The 22,362-nt window shown below is 39.0% G+C and overlaps 1 protein-coding gene and 1 non-coding gene across 25 annotated transcripts in view; one reads left to right on the plus strand and one right to left on the minus strand.

Moving 5' to 3' along the window:
• Nucleotides 1–22,362, minus strand: part of ASAP1 (ArfGAP with SH3 domain, ankyrin repeat and PH domain 1) — a 391,571-nt gene that overhangs the window by 109,101 nt on the left and 260,108 nt on the right. For all 24 annotated transcript variants that reach the window (XM_047421810.1, XM_047421806.1, XM_017013468.2 and 21 more), the window contains 4 exons: nt 19,547–19,676; nt 18,060–18,145; nt 7,788–7,863; nt 6,332–6,418 (listed from right to left, as the gene is read on the minus strand). In XM_047421810.1, coding sequence (XP_047277766.1) covers nt 6,332–6,418; nt 7,788–7,863; nt 18,060–18,145; nt 19,547–19,676 — 379 coding nt within the window. The remainder of the gene's footprint in view (nt 1–6,331; nt 6,419–7,787; nt 7,864–18,059; nt 18,146–19,546; nt 19,677–22,362) is intronic.
• On the plus strand, nt 1,768–1,923 carry LOC124900269 (small nucleolar RNA SNORA12). The gene has a single exon (XR_007061207.1). It is a non-coding gene; the product is annotated as a small nucleolar RNA SNORA12 (small nucleolar RNA).

Below are 22,362 nucleotides of genomic sequence, written 5' to 3' on the forward strand. Positions count from 1 at the left end.
TATTTTTCCCCAAGGGAAAAGAACTTAAATATATCCAGTTCATAAACAACACCTGAAATGTGATAGTGTCGAGGTAAGCTGAACCAACCACTGGCTATTTACTGACTTGTGTACGAAATACCTTTAACGCCAGGATGGCTTCTTTCTGACACTCAGGATCCTTTTGGGCCAAGTAATGTATGTTCAGTGATGCAAAATTAATATAAGTAACAATCAAAGGAAAATCATAGATTCCGTGTTCAAAAGCATGTCCTGAATACCTCCTAAAAGCCAGGTATTAAGGACCCTGAGTATACAACATAAGCCCTGGCTTTGACATGGACGCTCACACTCTCACCATATCACTGTCCTGCTCTCTTGTGTAGGTAACTGGGAGCTTACTGTACACTTAACCAGGCAAGCTGACTCACATTAAAGAGGTTACAAACTTGAGTTATTTTCTATTTGAATAATTTCTCTGTTTATAACTGGCCAGATTCCCTCCATATGAAACATTTAATTGGACAATATTAATCATTTGGGAGAGATGAGGCATGGACTTGAATCTAGGATTTTCTTGCAAAATTCTCCCTAAATATTTCCTTTTAAAAAATACATATGTATATATTTATTTTTGAGACAGGGTCTTGCTTTGTTGCCCAGGCTGAATGCAATAGTGTGATCACAGCTCACTGCGGCCTGAACCTCCCAAGCTGAAATGAGTCTCTCGCCTCAGCCTTCTGAGTAGCTGGGACTACAGGTGTGTGCTACCATGTCAGGCTAATTTTTGCTTTTTTGTAGGGATGGGGTTTCACTGTGTTGCCCAGGCTGGTCTTGAACTCCTGGACACAAGCAATTCTCCTACTTTGGCCTTCCGAGGTGCTGGGATTACAGGTGTGAGCACCATGCTCGACCTAAATGTTCACTTTTAATCAGGGCCTATAGCCTTGAATTCTATAGTAATGTGGTTCACTAAGTCCTCCCTAATAGATATTTTCACACTTTCTAAATGGAGGTAGGACTGAGGGACTGTACTAAATAGCAGACAAGCAAGAAGAGCAGCCTTCCCCTACCAATACCTCCAGCAACAGTCCCTAGTAACAACAGTAGTAACAGGTTTTTGTTTTGTTGTTGTTTTTTTAAGAGAGGCAGCAGTGTGTTCATAATCCTAATGAAGAAAAATGGATTGGGTTGCAGGGAACTGAGGCATGAGACAAAGCAAGAGGCAGGGATTAAAGAAATCCACAGGGCTTTCTGCTTTAATCCAACAAAATCACAGGAAAATTACTCAATTATGAATTTGGAGTCAGGGATCTCTGCCCTATCTGTATCTTCCAGAAACATTAAAAACATGGCCAGGCGCAGTGGCTCACGCCTGTAATCCCAGCACTTTGGGAGGCTGAGGCGGGTGGATCATGAGGTCAGGAGATCGAGACCATCCTGGCTAACACGGTGAAACCCCGTCTCTACTAAAAATACAAAAAATTAGCCGGGCGTGGTGGCGGGCGCCTGTACTCCCAGCTACTCAGGAGGCTGAGGCAGAAGAATGGCGTGAACCCAGGAGGCGGGGCTTGCAGTGAACCGAGATTGCGCCACTGCACTCCAGCCTGGGCGACAGAGGGAGACTCCGTCTCAAAAAAAAAAAAAAACAAACAAAATCTAAAATTTCCCTGTACACTGGTGCTCACTCATAACCCTCTTCCTTGGAACCCTTGTTACGGAACTAGACTTCTCTTCATCTGCCCACATAATTCCTAGGTCTGTCCAAATGCTTTAAAACTATGTATCTCTCGTGGTAGTTTTCTTTTTGGCACATTTGTTAAGTTTTCAAATGGGCCTAACACTGCCACATGTATTATACTGGAGTTGGCAAAGGCCTGTGACAATGAGATATCTCTCAAGCCTTTCACGCCTTTCCTCTATCAGAGAATGGCTCCCACATGTGGCAGGAAAACAAAAACAAAAACAAAAATGGATGTCTCACTACTAGGCACTCAATCAAAAACAAGCAACTGTGTATCTCTAATCTTAACCTTTGCTAACCTTTAAAATAAAACACTAAGTTTAAAAAATAAAAATACTTCTTTTAAACAAGGATTCAGACACTAACAACTTATAAAAACGATTATATTCTGTAAATGTATCATTAAGACGTTCCTTATATATTTATTACTAGCTTAAGTAAACCTTAAATTCTGAATAACAAACTCCTCGGAGTGAATGTGCTTGCTTTACATCAAACTAATATGCTTTTAAAGATGAATAAAGTGGCTAAACTCCAGGGTTTGACCTCATTAAACTGAGCAGAAAGGAAGCAGTATGTTTCAGAAGTTTAGTATCAACAATCCTAAATTAACTATGAATGAGTTTCATGGCTTAATAAAGTCACACCGATTATTACTTGTGCTCTTTGAGAAATGATGGCCATTCAGCTTGCTAAGCAGGGCACTCTAGACAAATGCAAAGAGGATTTTCTTTCCTGAGAAAGTAGATACTGGACATTTAATAACATTAACAACAATTTAAAAACTGACACACTGAAGGAATGAAATAGGTTCTGAATCCTTTGATAGTGTTAACGGAAATTATGTATTCAGGAAACAGAAAAACTCATTTGGGCAAAAACATAAAACATAAACAATGAACTTAAAATCTTTTTAATTTCCTATTCTCTATTAGTATAGACAAATCACTTTCTTATTTGAAAATCTTATTAATGTATAAAATGTATTATTAAGAGGTAGAGTCTCAAATCTTTTAAAAGTGCAAGCAATTATACATTCATTGATTTAATGGGGCTATAAATGTTTCTGGTATCCAATTTAAAACTAAACCTCTACTACAGAAGCCTAAAATTTCTAATGCAAGGTATCAATGGAGTGGGCAAAAGATTCCTTCTGTTTCATTTTTCTAAATATTTGAATAGTTTTCTGGGACCAGGCTACAGGACAGATACTGTGACATGAGTAAAACAGAAACAAAGAATCTGTCAAACCTGCAAACGATAATGTGATGGGGTTTTAAAAGAGTCCATAAGTGAATTCAAACAAAACAGGTGTAATTTTTGGAATAATTCTGTATATCCTAAATATGACTTATCACCATTTAAAATACTTTCAGGCCAGGCGCAGTAGCTCATGCCTGTAATCCCAGCACTTTGGGAGGCTGAGGCGGGCAGATCACTTGAGGTCACTTGAGGAGTTCGAGACCAGCCTGGCCAACATGGTGAAACCCCGGTCTCTACTAAAAACATAAAAATTAGCCAGGCGTGGTGGTACATGCCTGTAGTCCCAGCTACTTGGGAGGCTGAGGCACGAGAATCACTTGAACCTGGGAGGCAGAGGCTGCAGTGAGCGAGATTTGTACCACTGCACTCCAGTCTGGGCGACAGAGACTCCGTCTCAAAAAAACCAAAACAAAAACCTACTTCCAACTCTAAAAACAGTTATATAGCAAATAGTTCTTTTGTAGATTAAGCTATTACAAAAGCTTAATATAATTTCATAGAACATTTATTTGCTAAGACAATAAAAACTTAATAGAAAAAAAATGAGTTTACTGAAATTCCAGGGATCCTATTCACAACTAAAATTCTTGGAACTTCCTTTAATGGAGCCAAGTTAGAACCCGGTGGGGATGAGTAGGCTAAATGATTTGTTGGGTGCTTTTGATTCCTCAGTTAATCTTTAAGATTACTTGACATTCTTTTCAAATAGTACCATGGTCAGAACTCTCTGTGGATGGTCTCCTCTCACATTTAATCTCAGTCATGAAAAATCACTATCTTCTAAACATATTCTGCAATGAGTGATGATAAACAGCATGAGAAAGGAACAGGCATGTTGTGAAAGATCAATGTATTACTTGTAAAACTCTGTGATGCAAGGTACTAATGAAAACTCATCATTTATTAATCTGGGGTGGGGTTAAATCAAATCATGTGCATTTCATCATGTACACATTCCTTTGGCTTATATGCAACTTTGTTCTTTAGCTAGCATGAGCGGAACACTTAAGTCTCCATGCAAAACAAAAAGGGGTTGTAACAGTCCTCCTCTTTATTTTTCAAGAAAGCTTCCATATGTAGGAAAGAGGTAATACTGTGTGACAAAACAAAGGTAGGGAGTGGTTAAGTACATACAGTAAGTAAAACAACAATAAACAAAAAAACCCCAAAAAACCTCACAATATTCTCCCAAGACTGAAATCTACCACCCCGTACTCCCTTCTACCTGGGTCTTTTTAATGCTCTTACACTGAGAAATCATTCAAAGAGACCACATTTCTCCTAGGATTTATGTGTCAGTAATAAGCACCTTCAAAGGGCATGCATGGCATATCTGTGCTTCAGTCTGAAGTCTACTGGGGGTCTAATACTTGGAAATTCTTGTAAATCACAGTCAGAGGCCTCAAACCACAGGTGCAGTCACTGCCTGAGACTGAATGACATGGATGCAGAAACTGCCTTAGTGTACACAGATGTTCCTGGCCACTCTGCCTACTCCACAGGTTAGCAGATGCCTAGTGTTACAGTGCTATAGACTTCTCTCACTTGACCAATCCCCAGTGCATATACCTGGATTTGGAGAACCAGAAAAATAGAGGCTTATATTCACTCAATAAAGAAAACCTTCAGGGTTGCTTTAAAAGATTAGTGTCACTAGTGCAGGGCTTCCCATGTTTTATGGGAGTTGTTTTGTTTTAGACTCATAAACCCCTTTCAGAAATTTTAGAAATTAAAATAAGTGAACTTGCTATTGTTGTGTGATAGTATTTAAAAACTGACTATAAAAATGCTGTATTTCATGTTATTATTATTAAATATTGCTCTTCATTTTTTGTTTGTTTGTTTGTTTGAGGCAGGGTCTTCCTCCATTGCCCAGGCTGGAGTACAGTGACACAAATACAGCTTACTACAGCCTCCACTTCCTGGGCTCCTCAGCTTCCCTAGTAGCTGGGACTACAGGCACATGCCACCATGCGTGGCTAATTTTTCAAAATTTTTTGTAGACACAGGCTCTTACTTTGTTGCCTAGGCTGGTCTCAAACTCCTGGGCCCAAGTGATCCTCCCACCTTGGCCTCCCAAAATGTTTGGATTACAGGCATGAGCCACTGCTCTTAAATTTAACCCATAATTTCATAACAAAAACAGGCACGTTTTTAATTTCTCCCAGAAAACAAATGGTGCTTACTGTTTAATTTATCCTTATCATGAAGTCTACGTCCCTTAGTACAACACCCAAGGTCCTCCGTAGTCAGGTCTGAGTTTTTACCTCAGAAACTGCATTTCTGACTCCTCCACCCATCCTGCCCCAAAATGTCTGCAGCCCCTTGAATATGCTGGGGAGTTTTCCATCTCTGGGTCTTGTAGGTTTCTGTCTGGCTGCAGTCATCTTCCAATGTATCTCTAATAGTATCCATACCACTTTAGGCATGATGGATTGTTCATATGGCTGACTAGATAATGAGCTACTAGATGAAAGGGACTAAAGCTTAGTACCTAGAACTGTGCCTGGCACACAGCAGGTGTTAATGAAATGTTTGAACAAATGACATTTATAACTAAGGATCTGTACTGCATTCATCCAGCCTCTACCATGCATTCTATGCTCTTTCAATATCCAAGGACCAACTCACCTCAAATTTCCTAATTGTGGGGCAAAGCTTCTGTAGGATTCTGCATCAAAATATTTCCCTGGCAAATGAGACATGCCTGTTTTGGCTGCCCAGAAAGACAGAAGTGGTCTAAAGAGGAAAGTTGTAGAATGTACTATGTTTCAGCATATGCTCCTGAAGTGCATGTCCTCAAAACTAGGATTGAAAATCTATAGTCATGGGGCTGGGCACAGTGGCTCATGTCTGTAATCCCAGAATTTTGGGAGGCCGAGGTGGGAGAATTGCTTGAGTCCAGCAGTTCAAGACCAGCCAGGGCAACATGGTCAAACTCCATCTCTACAAAAAATACAAAAATTATCCAGGCATGGTGGCATGTGCCTGTAGTCCCAGCTACCTGGGAGGCTGAGGTGGAATGGTTGAGGTCAAGGCTGCGATGAGCCATAAGTGTGCCTGCCGCCTCACTCTAGCCTGGGTGACAGAGTGAGACCCTGTCTCAAAAAAGTAAAGAAAAAAGAAAAAAAAAAAATCCAGAGTCATGGAATTGGATACCCAGAACATCTTTCCTATAAGCAAGGAAAAGGAACTAAAATACAGTTTCTACATGGGGCTTATGGTAGGTACATACTTGCATATTATATATCACTGTGCCTGTCTTGCAGATCAGGAAACACAAAGGGTATTACAAGCAGCCTTACCTACACTGTTAGCCCTGTTGTAAACATGTAAACCACTTACTTCTTTCTGATCCAGTTGAAGAGAGGATTTTATTAAGTCTCGGAGTGCAGTTAGCTGTTTCTTTTCTTCATCCTGGGTCTGTTTTATCTATGAAAAAAAAATTACTTCTATTACTTACCATTTACACTTTCACAGGCAGAGTTTAATTTATCCAAAAATACCACTCATCAAAATTCTATTATATATTTGGTTTTCTTACTAAAAGTCCTTTATACTGTCTCATTTTTGATATGATATTTCTCATCTTATAAAAGCAGCAGTGGGTTTTGAAATTAGTGAATAATGCAACATGCATTCTTATTAAATAACCTATCTAAGCTAGATAGTTAACTCTGAAGTACTATTCTAAACAGCTTATATCATTGAGATTATTTGCTTCTGGTTTTTCAAAGGGTGGTAATGAAAATACCATAATGTGATTAAATGGTCCAGGAGAGAATCCTAAGAATGACCAGGAGTCTAATGGGCCAATGCATACATCAAAGTTTACATAGCATGAAATGGGGACAAGGGATCAGTGCTGCTTTTTTTAACCACTTGGGACTTAACTGTAACCTGAACCATGTTAACTACTAAAAGAAAATCAGAAAAAATACATAGCTATGCATTTTTAAAGTTATATAAAAGGCATTCTTTGTAATTATAAAACTTTATTTGAGGATATTTACTCATACTCATAATATATACGCTTTTATTTACCCCCAAATGATTTTTGGGCAACAACTTTACCATTTCTAATATATACATTTAGACCTAGACACTAAAAAAAGAGAGATAATATAAAACATGCAAAAAACAAAACAAAACAAAACAAAAACCCTTATAAATCAAAGGCGTGGTGGCTCACGCTTGTAATCCCAGCACTTTGGGAGGCCAAGGCGGGTGGATCACTTGAGCTCAGGAGTTCAAGACTAGTCTGGGCAACACAGTGAAACCCCATCTGTACCAAAAGGCTGAGGCACGAGAATTGCTTGAGCCCAGAAGGCGGACATTGCAGTGAGCCAAGATCGTGCCACTGTACTCCAGCCTGGGCGACAGAGTGAGACTCTGAAAAACAAAAACAAAAACAGAAACAAACAAACAAAAACCCCAAAAAACTCTATAAACCTGCCTATTCAGAGTCAATTTTTATCCTTCCACAATCATGCATTCTTTCTGCAACTGCTGACCAAGGAACACTCAAATGTGATGCTAACTGAATCGTAAATGCAGAACCATCTGGAACTGATGGCTGTATACTCCCCTCCCTGCTCCTCTTATGGCCCCAGAAGGACTCTGGAGCATTTGACCATCGATGACTTCTCTGACTTAAACTGAAGGGTTATCTGTCCTAGGTTTGTACAGACATATCATTTAATCTTTTCTGCTTTTAACACCTTTCTAATACAGATTTCAAATTTACTGAAACTTATCCATGAAAGCAAGTTAAACTGCATGTATTTTATAAAGAACTTACATTATATAAATCAGCAGCCAGTTTTTCAATGTACTGTTTCAACTTATCAGCTGTTTTCAAGCCATCTTGAAAGAAACTACAATTAAAAAAATCAGAGATTTACCACCAGTATAAAAAAAAAAGAGTATTTGTTTCCTTATGTGGAAATAAAAAAAGGAACTATAATAACCTACAAAATCTGAAAATACACTTATCTGTATATATATACTCATTCTCTATGGATTTATCTATACAAGACAGTTATAAAACTAATTACGGCATTTTATAAAGATGTACCAACAAATAAATTATGGCTGTCAGTTGACATTTGATAGAAGATATCACAAGGACACTGGAAATTACAGTTGCAGTCCCAAAACAGTGATTTCATAACGTACATATGCATCTATACATAGAACAGTTCTTCCCAGTTAAACCATATTTGAATTTGAAGGAGAGAGAAGGACACATTAACCAGTGGAATATCATGAGGTTGATCTGGACACTATAAAGAGAAATATGATGGAACTACAGATAAAGGCAGGAGAAAAGTCAAAATTCATTCAGTTCCTCAAAGATCCCTGTGTTCCAACATATATTTGAAACACAAGAATTCAAAGCAATAATACCAACGGGTTTGGAAAGCTTTATCCTACAACACATGGTTGCATGACTTCACCTGAAAAATAACAAGAATTAATATCTGTGGAGCATTTAGCACATGCCCAGTACTGCACTGAACACTTTACACAAGTGATTTCATGTACACAACTCTAATGAATTAAAGCACTTCAATCTCATCTCCATTTGTAAAACTGAGGTACAGAGTATGTATAAAACTTGGTTAAGTTGCAGCTAGTAAGCAGCAGAGCTGGTGGAATTCAGATCCAGGTCTGCCAGATTCTGATCCACGCTCTTTACCAGCAAGTGAAGATTTCTTGTCTCAGGTGGCACACTTCCACTCAGGAACCCAGTCTCTGATATCAGTTTAGAAAAATAAACAATATGCCTCAGAAAACGTGTTTAGAATTTTCTCTGCCCTATTGGAAGCTTCTCTAACCATGTCCCTACAGCAGACTATTTCTCAAAACACTATCTGTTTTGCTGTCTCCCTACAAACAACGAGGACCTTGAGCATGAGGACTGTCTCATCTCCCTATCACAGTGGGCCCAACACAAAGCAGACTGAATGAAGCAATATCAAGACATTTTAAGGAATATCTTTTTTTTTTTTGAGATGGAGTCTCTCTTCGTTGCCCAGGCTGGAGTGCAGCGGCGTGATCTCAGCTCACTGAAACCTCTGCCTCCCAGGTAGCTGGGACTACAGGTGCCTGCCACCACACCAGGCTAATTTTTGTATTTTCAGTAGAGACAGGGTTTCACCAAGTTGATCAGGCTCGTCTTGAACTCCTGACCTCAAGTGATCTGCCCACCTCGGCCTCCCAAAATGCTGGGATTACAGGTGTGAGCCACTGCGCCCAGCTTAAGGCATATCTTAAGAGACATATTTTAAGCTTAATATGTATATTCAGTGTTCAGTGGCAATAACACAGGCTATTAGAAGTGGCCTTCAGAATGATTACTGAAATCCTACAAGTTCCAACATTTTTTAAGGCTGACATCTTTGGCAAAGAAACCTTATTGAAATAAAGAAGAAAAATACTACCTTTAGAAAGTTTTTCAGCAACAGGGATGAGAGATAAAAATGGCCTTTTAGTTAACCATTTAACTGAAAAATACATGAACACATGTAAAGCCTCATCTCTCTCTCTCTCTCTCGGCAGGGTCTCACTCTGTCACCCACACTGGAGTGCAGTGGCTCAATGAAGCCTAGACTTCCTGGGCTCAAGTGATCCTCCCATCTCAGCCTTCTGAGTAGCCGGGACTACAGAGGCACCCCACCATGCCTGGCTCATTTTTATTTTTGTAAAGATAAGGTTTTGCCACATTGCTTGGGCTGGTCTCCAACTCCTGGACTCAAGTAATCTGCTCTCCTTGGTCTCCCGAAGTGCTGAGATTAAAGGTGTGAGCCACCGTGCCTGGCCTAAACCCTTATTTTCTAGCATTTGGGTTTTCGGCACTGCCTATAGCGATGCAAGTAAAACTTCTCAGTATAGAATTTTAAAAGTTTACGTTCTGACCCTTGAATACTTCTGTTTTATCTCTTACCATTTTCCCTTAAAAACTCCAAGGTCTAGCCATGCTACATTATTTCTAGTTGCCTGTTCTTTTTCAATCCATCCTTCCCCACTTCAGCCTTTGCATATGCTATTCCCTCTGCCTGGAATGCCCTTCCCCTCTATACCTGTGTAGTAGTACGTTCCCATGTTGCTATGAAGGAACACCCAAGACGGAGTAATTTATAAAGAAAAGAGGTTTAATTGACTCACAGTTCCACATGGCTAGGGAGACCTCAGGAAACTTACAACCATGGCAGAAGGCACCTCTTCACAGGGCGGCAGGAGAGAGAATAATGCCAGCAGGAGAAATGCTAGACACTTAAAAAACCATCAGATTCCTTGAGACTCACTCATTATCAAGAGAACAGCATGGGGGAAACTGCCCCCATGACTCAATTAACTCCACCTGGTCCTGCCCTTGACATGTGGGGATTATGGAAATTACAATTCAAGGTGAGATTTGGGTGGGGACATGGAGCCAAACCCTATCAACCTGCCTGCCAAACTCTCTTTTATCAAGACTCAGCTCGGCTGCTACCCCATAAGCAGTATTCTCTAGACCTGATAGTCAAAGCAGCGGCTTCATTGAGCATGTGGGCCCAGGCCTAAGTGCCAGACCTGGAGAGGTTGGCAATGTTCTGCACAGAGCAGGCCATCTATAAGTGTTAACCTGAAACCAGCATCCTCTACATCAAGGAAGGGATATATGCCCAGGAGTTAAAAGTATGGGTACAAAGTTAATCATAGCAAAATCTGTTTTGGTCTCTGATACTGCACTTAAGTGATTTCTGGAGAAAAGTTTTGAAGGTAGAGCATTTAAATTTAAGATGGATGTTGTCAGGACTTCTTACAACAGAAGAAGCAATGGCTTTGGGGTCAGATGATTATGACCAAGAATCTGTGTTCTGGCAAGTCATTTAACTTCTCTTGGCCTCAGTTTGCTCATGTGTAAATGGGCAAATAATACAGATAGGACATGTGAAACTACCCAGCAAAGTGTGGGGCAGTTAGCATGTGCTCAAGAAATCATTCTCTTCCCCGGAGCTGCATAACTTTATCATATAAGGAACTGTTTCCTTTGCAGAGGGATACAGATTCTTTGTAGATATTTTTGAAAAGGTATTTCATTTTCACTTTTAACATAAAGGGAATTTAATCTTTATGCTTTAAAAAAATGTGAGTTTTGCTCGGGTGACAGGTACACCAAGATCCCAGAAATCACCACTAAATAACTTATCCATGTAACCAAAAACCACCTGTACTCCAGAAACTACTGAAATAAACATTTTTTAAAAATAAGAGAACACTAATTAAATCTCTTCCCAATTTTTTTTTTTAAAGGTGAGTTTCAATGAGAATGCTCTACATCTGTGTTTTCCAATATGGTAGCCACTAGTCACATCTGGCTATTAAAAATTAAATGAAAAATTCTGTTCCTGAAGACTCATAAGCCATATTTCAAGTGCTTGGTAGCCACGTGTGGCCAATGGGTACCATGTAGATGGTAAAGAGTATGAACATTTCCACCATAGCAGAAAGTTCTACTGGACAACACTCTAGAAAAAGAATAAGCAAATATTTGAACAGCACAAAAGAAATACTGAAGAACACATTATAAATTTTAGGGAGAAAGACGGAACTGTTTTAGTTTGAAATGGCACTGATAAAAATGAAAATTCCTGCCAATTACAAGGCTGAAGACTCCAAACAAATTTACTTTCCTTCTGCTTCAATTATTCAGACTGTTACATACCCAGATTCTAAGAAAAATCAATGTAATAATTGCTTTAATCTGTAGCATAATCCCATTTTTGTAAACAAAACAAACCAGATACATGAATCTAGTAATCATCTAAGTGAGGAGATTACAGGGTTTTTTCATTCTTCCTTAACTTCAGTTTCTAATTTTTTTCTTAAGGATATCACGTATTAATCAGTTAAAACAAAATTAAAGAGTCAACATTTTCTCTGGGATGAACAATTTGGAGGCAAGCCCCTTGCAGAAAGTAATTTCAGGGAGGGCCAAGTTCTAGTTTTGGTAAGAAATAGGAGCAGGAAAGGAGGACGAGTTGTAGAAGAATAAAATAACCATGGCAGTCATTAGCAATGTATCAGTGACACCATAAAAAGCAAAGGGTGACATGCTGTCATCTGCACTGTCCCTCTGAGCTTCATTCTCTTCTCCTTGAGGGTCACAGTTCCAGCTGTGGACAGGGTAGACAGAGAGCCACCACGACCTGCCAAAACATTTCACAGAGGGCAGTGGCTTCTCTGTTCCTCCTTTCTCTCTTCTCTCTGTTTTAGCTCGTCCTAGTTCAGTGGACATGCAAGGGCTACTGCACACATGGCTCATGCCTGTAATACCAGCACTTTGGGGGGCCAAGGCAGGACGATTGCTTGAGCCCAGGAGTTTGAGACCAGCCTGGACAACATGGTGAAGCCCTGTCTCTACAAAAAAAATACAAACATTAGCCGGGCGTGGTGGTACATGCCTGTAGTCCCTGCTACTTGGGAGACTGAGGTGGGTGGATCGCTTGAACCCAGGAGGTTGAAGCTGCAGTGAGCTAGGATTGTACCACTGCACTCCAGGCTGGGTGACAGAGTGAGACTCTGACTCAAAAAGAAAAAAAAAAATAAAAAGGCCGGGTGTGGTGGCTCACGCCTGTAATCCTAACACTTTGGGAGGCCGAGATGGGTAGATTGCCTGAGCTCAGGAGTTCGAGACCAGCCTGGGCAACAAGGTAAAACCTTGTCTCTACTAAAAAAAAAAGAAAAAAAAAATTAGCTTGGCGTGGCAGCATGCGCCTGTAGTCCCAGCTACTTGGGAGGCTGAGGCAGGAGGACTGCTTGATGTTTGAACCCAGTAGGTGGAGGGTGCAGTGAGCAGAAATCACGCCACTGTACTCCCACCTGGGTGACAGAGTGGCAAGACTCCGTCTCCAAAAAAAAAAAAAAAAAAAAAAAAAGGCTTAGGAGTCAAAACCATATCATATTTTATATTTTGGCTCTAAACCTTACTATACGTGGTAACCTTGGGCAGTTATTCACCCTGTCTGAATAACAGAATGCTCATCTCCAAAGTGGACATTTTCTAGTTTCAAGGAGCATCAGATGAGCTACTACAGATAAAAGTGTTGTTAGCTGGAAAGTGAAGCACATGTGTGAGTTCTGACTACCTATCACTACACTTAACACATAAATCTTCCAAATAGAAGGGAAAATTACCTCGAGGATGTCTCATTTATCTCTTAGCCACTTTCTCTATAAATTACTGTAACATAACAAGATCTTCAAAAACCAGTAACAGTAACAGTAATGGCAGCTAACATGTAACTGAGTATTTACTCTGTACCAGTCACCGCACTATTATACACAATTCATGGAATCTCTTTTTAGTCTCGTTACAGAACCAACCATGCAACTAGGTTCAGAACTTTCAGCCCCACCCCTCCTCCCACCTCTGGGGAGGGCAGAGGGGCTGGAGATTGGGCCAATAACCAACAGCCAATGATTTAATCAATCATGCCTATGTAATAAAACCTCTATAAAATCTTCTAAACAAAGGGGTTTAGAGAGCTGCTGAGTTAGTGAACATATGCCATCTTTTGTGTCTGGCTTCTTTCACTTAGCATTAATGTTTTAAATGTTCACCCATATGTAACATGTATCAATATTTCATTCACATTCAGCATTGTGGCTGAACAATGTTCCATTTTGATATACCACATTTTGTTTAACCTTTTATCAACTGATGGATATCTGGGTGTTTCCGTGTTTTGTTTATTGTAAATAACGCTGTTATAAATATTCATGTACACATTTTATTTAAATAATTCTATGCTTAACTTTGTGAGAAATTCCCAAACTGTTTTCCAAAGAAGTTGCACCATTTACATTCCTACTGGCAATGCATAGGTTGCAATCTTCCCACATCCTCACCAAGACTTTTTTTGTTTTAATTACAACAATCCCAGTGGGTGTGAAGTGCTATTTCATTGAGGTTTTGATTTGTACTTAACACCGACTAATGATGTTGAGCACCTTTTCACGTGTTTTTCTGGCCATTTGTGTGTGTGTGTGTACAATTTTTTTAATATACAGAGTCTTGCTTTGTTGCCTAGGCTGGAGTAAGTCATTATGGCTCACTGCAGCCTTGATCTCCCAGGCTCAAGCGATCCTCCCACCTTGGCCTCCCAAGTAGCTGGGAAAATAGGCGTGTGCCACCACACCAGGGTAATTTTTTATTTTTATTTTTTGTAGAGACAGAGTCTCCCTGTGTTGCCCAGGCTGGTCTCGAACTCCTGGGCTCAAGTGATCCTCCTGCATCGGCCTCCTAAAGTGCTAGGATTATAGGTGTGAGCCAGTACACCTGGACTGTTGTTGAGTTTTTTTTATATATTCTGGATATCAGACTCTTATCAGAAAAATATTTTGTAAATATTTTCTCCTATTCTGTGGGTTGTCTTTTACTTTCTTGATAATATACTTCCATGAACAAAAGTTTTTAATTTTGAAGTCCAATTTATATTTTTATTTGGTTTCCTGTGCTTACTTTGTCTGCTTTGACACATTTACTAAGCGTTTATTAAATGAATGAACATGACTTTGAGCAAAATACTGATCCTTTCTGAGCTACAACTTCTTGAGTGTTGGGAATATTAAATGAGAAAACACATGTAAGGAACTTAGAGGCAGGGCCTATATAATTCGTCCCAGAAAATAAGCTCTCGGTAAATGTTAGCTATTATTCTTATTATCTGTAAAATGACAGATAATAAAGCAATGTTTATAAATGCTGTTAACTCTGCAGGTCATAATGACACTTGTGAGGAGGTAAAAGGAGCAGGTGAACTGGAGGATATGTCTGTTTGGAAAGCAGCATGTTCCCGACAATGTTCATGTCTGAAATTGAGCAGTAATTAGTGAGTGAGCTGAAATGAGTTGGAAACAGTTAAAAGCCCTTCTTTTCTGTTCCCTTTATTTATTTCTCCAGTGTAGTAGCTTCATCCACACGGAAGTGTCGTGACTATTACTACCTAGGCAAATTCACTGTTGAATACCAGCTGACTTTGTACTGAAAATCACTTTGGGAACTGAAGTAAGTACTGAGAAGAATAAATCTTAAAAACAAAACAAAACAAAAAACACCTACGTAGAGAATGCTTAACAGGTCCATACAATATGCCTATTAAGAGTTTTGAGGAACTGACAGAAGTAGAAAAGAATAAAGGAAACTACTCTGGCTTCTTGCTATGATAGAGTTCTTGGGGTTCCACCATGGAGTAACTTTTAGTTGAATCCCCTTATAACATGGTTCTACTACTTGATGTCTCAGAACATCTCTCTCCCTACAAGGTTTTTACTGTGTAGGGTTTTCTTCTGATGATCTCTCTCTGACCTAGGGGACATTCGTCTACCAGATTGCAATCTGGTAACAAAATCCTAGCTATCCTCCAAGTTCAATGACAAGTCCCACCACCTCCTTCAAGGTGCTAATACCTTCTCCTCAGTCCTCCTGGTCAGATGTCTCTCTTCCTGTTTTTTTTTTTTTTCTTTTGAGACAGAGTTTTGCTCTTGTTGTCCAGGCTGGAGTGCAATGGCGTGATCTCGGCTCACTGCAACCTCTGCCTCCTGGATTCAAGCGATTCTCCTGCCTCAGCCTCCCAAGTAGCTGGGATTACAGGTATGCGCAACCACACCTGGCTAATTTTGTACTTTTAGTAGAAACGGGGTTTTGCCATGTTGGTCAGGCTGGTGTTGAACTCCTGTAATCTAATAATCCACCTGCCTCAGCCTCCCAAAGTGCGGGGATTACAGGCGTGAGCCACCGCGCCCAGCCGTCTCTCTTCCTCTTGATGCTCCATGGTACCCGTCACTGTCCAGCCCCATTATGATTAATAATGGATCTGACTTACTTCCTATACCTGGACAATTAACTCCTGAGCGGAAAAGCCTTGCTTTATCTCTGTCCCAGAACTGGGCACAGTAGCTGATCTTTGGTAAAAGACTAATACATATTTGTGGAAAGGGAAAAAGCAAAGAATAAGAGAATAAAGGGAGGATGCATTAGCTATACAAGTTAGCATCACCATTACTAGCGAAGGCTAATATATGTATACTTTACAAAGCATCTTCTATTTTGAAAAACTCTTGTTTGTGTAGGCCAAACTCTTCCTTATAAACTTAGAGAATTTAACGTGAAAATAGATTTCTAAAGTCAGGTGAAATCAGTTTTGCTGCCAAAGTACTGCAGAATTCAGGAGACTGAGAGATTCACTTATTTCTTTAAAACTTTCAAAGGAATTAAATGTTTCCAGGAAAACTAAATTTGATGAAAGATAAAAAATTCCACCCAATACTAAAATCAGGGACCATTAGAACACAGGCCAAAGTTTCATAACTGCCCAACCACACTACAAAGCCAAAAGTAAGTTAGTTAATCCAGGTCTTCAATAAACAAACTTAATCTTAAGAAGGTGAAAACTTTCTACTTCAATATATTATTTTTATTTTTGAAAGACACTTATATAAGGTACAATTTACTTTGAAAAAAAGTTATCATCAAATTTATGTAAACAACAATTTGATCATCAAAAAGGTTTTCCTTAAGAGAAATATCCTAGACAATAAAATATATAAATAAATAATTTTAAATGCCACTTAGAATCATCACAGCTGTCAACACATACAAGGTCGCAGGCACTGGGCTAAGCACTCCACATGCATTCTTTTTCACTTTTTACAGCCTTACAAAAACCCTAAGGTGGTTGCTACAGAATCGTAACCCAGCTTGACGAGTGAGTATACTGAGGTTTAGTGAAGTACCTGATTAAGAATACAGTTAACCAGCTGCAGAGCCAAAATGTTGACTCATCTAATTTGTCTAACCCAAGCTTTGTGCTTTTGACATAATATTAATGCTGACCTCCTTAAATGTTTCAGTTGAATACAGGTATCTTTCTAAATATAACTATTGAAAAGAATAAGAAAGATCAAAGGAAATTATGAATTTAACTTTTTTGAGAGTATTTTATCTAGTCCAAACGACCTTTACATTATTTTGCTTATGAGAGCTGTCCATTCCATTTCTGGAAGGTCCTTCCATTATTTTCGGTATAACTTCCATCAACGAATACAGACTTTACTAATACAGACTTTACTTTTCTGGTAGAGTCTCCATGTGTAGCTGGCACATTTTCACACACAGACTCTACCAGAAAACCCATGAAAGTTAACCCAATAAGTAAACAAGCAAATGTGGCACCACAGAATCACAAACATAACAAAAAGATAGCCCTGCAATATAGGCAAACAAAAATGGTGCCAGTGTAGAACAATGGTATTTCTCAAAATGTAACACAAATTATATAGGAATCCATGTACAAATGCAAAGTATTCTTAATGCCCCAACTATTTAAATTCACTTATTTTAGATGAAACAAAACAAAACTGAAGACTCCAGGTGGAAATACATGGTGCAAATGGTGCAATAATAGGCCAAGGCCAAGGTGGATCGCGAGGTCAGGAGATCAAGGCCATCCTGGCCAACACGGTGAGACCCAGTCTCTACTAACAATACAAAAAAAAAATTAACTGGGTGTGGTGGCGTGCGCCTGTCATCCCAACTACTGGGGAGGCTGAGGCAGAAGAATTGCCTGAACCCAGGAGGCGGAGATTAGAGTGAGCCGAGACTGCACCACTGCACTCCAGCCAGGCAACAGAGTGAGACTCCGTCTCAAAGGAAAAAAAAAAAAAGGCAAAATGCCAAGTAAGAGAGTCAGGGTAGGGGGTCATCAGAAAGGACTCTTCAGTGACAGGGGATCATGCATCTGTAATAAGAGCTCCACAGGCGATCAAATTTAGGAAGAAGTATTTGTAAGTATTTGTCTTCTTGTAAGGAAGACAATATTTTTAAGCCCTAATTTGAGCTACTGATTTGTATAAAACACTGAAGATGGAAGACACTATTTCTTATCCATTTAGCTGAAAAAGGTCATTATATCACTTTATTTAGTCACGAGATGAAGAAAAGATATGAAGAGGATTAAGACAAATAATGAAGTACAGGGGGCAGTAATTGGGCTAATAACAATGCTTGCAATATTCTACTCACTTGCACTGTGCATGGTAATACTTTATAAGATTCTGCAGCAGATCCACACCCTTTTTGGTCTTGATTTCATTAACTTTAATGAGATACTGTGAAAATAAAACAGGGTTTTGCGTTGATTAATTCCAGATGGGGCTCTTCAGCCATGGGTTCAGGTGGCTGAACATCACCCCTGAATCTGCACAAGTTACCAAGCCTTGGTGTCCTTTAGACAGTTTAGAGAATGCTGATTTCGCAGTCACAAAGTGTTCAAAACAAATTGACTAGAGTGTTAGCATTTTATAAATTATTTTATGATTAGTTTACTCGACAAGCAGAAATAAAACACAGCAAAACATTCTAGAATTATTATTTCCCCTTGGTGCAGTGGATCTCAAACGTATAGTTTATGTGGTCAAAAACTGGAAAGATTGATTGTTTTTTGCAGAAAGTACGCAGAATAGCATTCTCATCAAAGAATATACCATAGGATATTGAAACTTTAGGAAAAAGAGGTGAATCAGAAAGAATTTTTACTACTCAAAAATTAAAGAATAAAAGTAAGAATAACCCACTAATTTATTGAGGTAACTAAACACAGTAGTGTACTTGTACTGTGCACTGGTCAAGATTTTCTATTGACACTGTTTGCTCACTTGTTTTATTCTGTAAAAAGGTTCATGAGCACACAAACTCAAGGAGCCAAAGGGTTATGAAACAGAAAAAAGAGAGAAAGAGAAAGAGAATGAGAGAGAGAGAGGTGAGAAAGAGAGAGAGAGAAAGAAAGGAGAGGGAGGGAAGGAAGGAAGGGAGGGAGGGAGGAGAAGGGGAAGGGGAAGGGGGAAAGAGAAAGAGAAGGAGGGAATAGAGAGAGAAAGCGAGGAAGAAGGAAAAGGAAAGGAGAAAAAAATCTAGGGAAGGAAAAAAATTTGACAAAGTTCTCCACTTTAATATTTTCTGAAAACTGCAAAAGAAACTCTTACTCAACAGCCGTGTCAGAACAGGTTGGTTTCTAGGTCAAGAAGTGTTCATGTTCAATTGGAATTCAGTTTGAGAACCACTGCTCTAAGTTTAAGGCAGCATGCTTTTTGTTGCATTTTTCGTGAAATCGACTTTCTTAATGACAACTTCATTTGAGTTTTCATTCAAACTGGACATATGGTTAAAAAAACATGCTCTAAACATACACCAATAAAACTTAATATTCACCAGTGTTACCTCTCACCAATGTTTTCCTCCCACAACCACTCACAAGCAACATTAAGGTTCTCACCAAAGAATCCTGTTTTGGCTTAAACAGCCCCATAGGGCCAAGGCTCAAAATATGAGACAACAGTGCAATGGCAGGTTCCCAAAAGGCTTGGAGAAAAATGGAGATTAGAATCCTTAAGAAACAGTTTCCTCTCTAATAATCAAACAGAGTCTGCCTTTAAGCATAAAGACTGCTGACTAGCAGGAAAAGATCACAGTTGTTATAATTCTAGGCAAATGGTGGAAAAGTCCATTCTTACTTCACACATTTGGAGCTGAAAGAGGCGCCTTTCCTTCTCCATTTCTTCCGCAATCTCAGCTCCTGTTATCTCTGTGCGGATCATCCCATGTTGTTTTGCGTGCTCTCTTTTCTCTTTCTCAATTTTTGTACTGTAATTAAAGCCAATGTCATTATTTAAAAAAAAAAAATACACTCATGTACAATACCAACAGCAGATCCTAATACAAACTATGGATTTGGGGTGACGATGTGTCTATGTAGGTTCATCAGTTGTATCAATTGTACCACTCTGGTGGGGGTCAGTGATAACGGGGGAGGCTGTGCATGTGTGGGGGGAGGGAGCATATGGGAACTCTCTTGTATCTTCTGCTCAAGAAGGAAGTCTACTAAAAACAAACCACACTCATGTCTTCCCGTTAACAAAAGCCACTGATTATTAATTCCTAAAGTTAAAAGGCAAGAATTCTTAAGTTGGTAGAATCAATCAGAAGTAAAAGCCTACAATCAAACAGAACACAAACACTGTATGGATTTTCATATGGGAAACCTCTTACATTTTTCCTTTGATCTTACACATGACAGATTCATATACATTCTCTTAAATTTTGGTAGGCATGAAGAAATTTTGATAGTTTACCTACTATTGGGTAAAGCACTTTATAATAAAAAAAGAATCAGAAAGTTGGAGACATGAGGCTTTCCTTGAATATCGACAGCTTGCAAGACTTCAATTATTTCAAATAATTAAAGTATATAATGGGTCTTTGTGGGTATGCACAAAATTTAGTCAAAGGTAATTTCCAACATTCCTCTAAACTTGAGCTATTTCCACATTCCAAGAATACATTTTAATCAGTCAACCACTTGTCACTGGAATGTACAAAATTCAGAAGAAATCCTAATTTGGAATCCTATCACAATGTTCTTCTGTGTGTGGGGAGGGGGCCAGGGGAAACGAGGTGATAAAGAAGAAAGGCCCACATTAAACATACAGTAGCTGACGCTAGTGCTCGGCTCTGATAGATGATACTCTGGTAATAATACCAAAGATTATAGCCTGCTTTCCAAAAATCATTAACCTGAAAATGGACTTCTAATTTCAGAAACAACCTGTAATTTCTAGCTGTGAATGCAAAGACTAACTGATTTATCCGTCAAGTCTTCTTTAAGTTATGGTGGTGGTAGGGGAAACCAACTCTGAAGAAAGCCAACATCCTTACCTATACACAGACATAGTGGAAAATCCACCGATCAAGCCAATGAAAAATCTACTTATAAACCCAGTCGGGATTGACTCTAATACCCTAATGCTATTATATTTAAGAAACTCTTTAATCATGCCACCTTGGCAGTCGAAGAGGCATAACAGGGATTTTAACAGAAAGAATAAATCTCAGCTCTTTCTCCACTGATGTGGGTGGGAAGAGAAGAAATATGGAGGGACAGGCATAACTTAATAATAAGCCTTTCAATTTACCATGGTGACTTAAACATACATGTCTTTATTTCTTCTTCCTCCAGTGATCCCACTAAAATGAGAGTAAAGGCATAAGAACAGATAATCTCCCAAAGAAAGAATTGAAGACAAAAAAGGATGACGGAATTCAATAAATATTTGGAAGAGCAAGGCTGAAGAGAGAAGGAGAGCACCTCAAACTATAGGGTTCTCTGTCTCCCTCACTTACATAGCTTCCAAAATGCCACCATATGTGATTACTAAGCAGGAGCGTGAAAGAACTGCAAGGTTCTGAGACAAACCTCAGACACTGACATTTGGAAAACCCCTAATAAAAGAGCTGCCTTCACATCCTAAAACTTGAAACCTAAAAAGAAGGCTTTCTGCTTTCTTGGAGAAAGCAGATCTCTAATGATGCATATAAACTTTTAGTCTTTGGGTACCTTGCTCTGAAATATGAATGCACCCAAAGATTATAAGTCTCCAAAATGAAAGTGAGAGTGAAAGTATTAATAACAAAAGGGGGAGGGTTGGGAAGGAACCAGAGGCACTAAGGAAGCAGATAAAACATTTTACAAAATGTCATTAAATCTTCAGCTAAAATATTGCATCTATGAAACAAGAAATAGAAACTATAAAAAGGCAAAAAAAAAAAAAAAAAAACCCAACTGAGCAAAAGAGCTCTTAGAAATTTAAAATGACAGCCAAAATAAAAAAGCTAACTGAAACAGTGGGGAAAAAACACTGAAAAAATAACCTAAAATATAATATAAATAGAACAGAAAAGAGAAGAAAATTTTAAGAACTGTCTAGGAAGTCAAATATTATATAATGAAAATTCCCGAAAGAGGAATAAAAGAAAAAACAGGAAGAATTACAAGAAGTTTCCAGGAGTGATGAACTCAAACTTGTAAACAGAAAGATTGCAAACAGAATGCACATACCGTGGCACTTGAAGACTCTTCGTAAAACCTTTTACAGAGACAAGACCTTACATTCTCTAACCAAAAATAAATGCAACAAACAACAACCACATATCACATACAAATAAATGGGAATCAGAAAGGTATCAGATTTTTTTTTTTATTAGCAATACTGGAAAGTAGAAAACAATGGAACAATGCCTTCAACATTTAGAGATAAAATTATTATTATTATTGTTATTATTTTTGAGACAAAGTCTCGCTTTCTTGCCCAGGCTGGAGTGCAGTGGTCCGATCTCGGCTCACTACAACCTCTGCCTCCTGGGTTCAAGCGATTCTCCTGCCTCAGCCTCCTGAGTAGCTGGGACTACAGGAACCCGCCACCACGCCCAGCTAATTTTTGTATTTTTTAGTAGAGACAAGGTTTTGCCACGTTGGTCAGGCTGGTCTCAAACT

This window comes from Homo sapiens, chromosome 8 (genome assembly GCF_000001405.40).
Source record: "Homo sapiens chromosome 8, GRCh38.p14 Primary Assembly".
Lineage (NCBI taxonomy): Eukaryota > Metazoa > Chordata > Mammalia > Primates > Hominidae > Homo > Homo sapiens.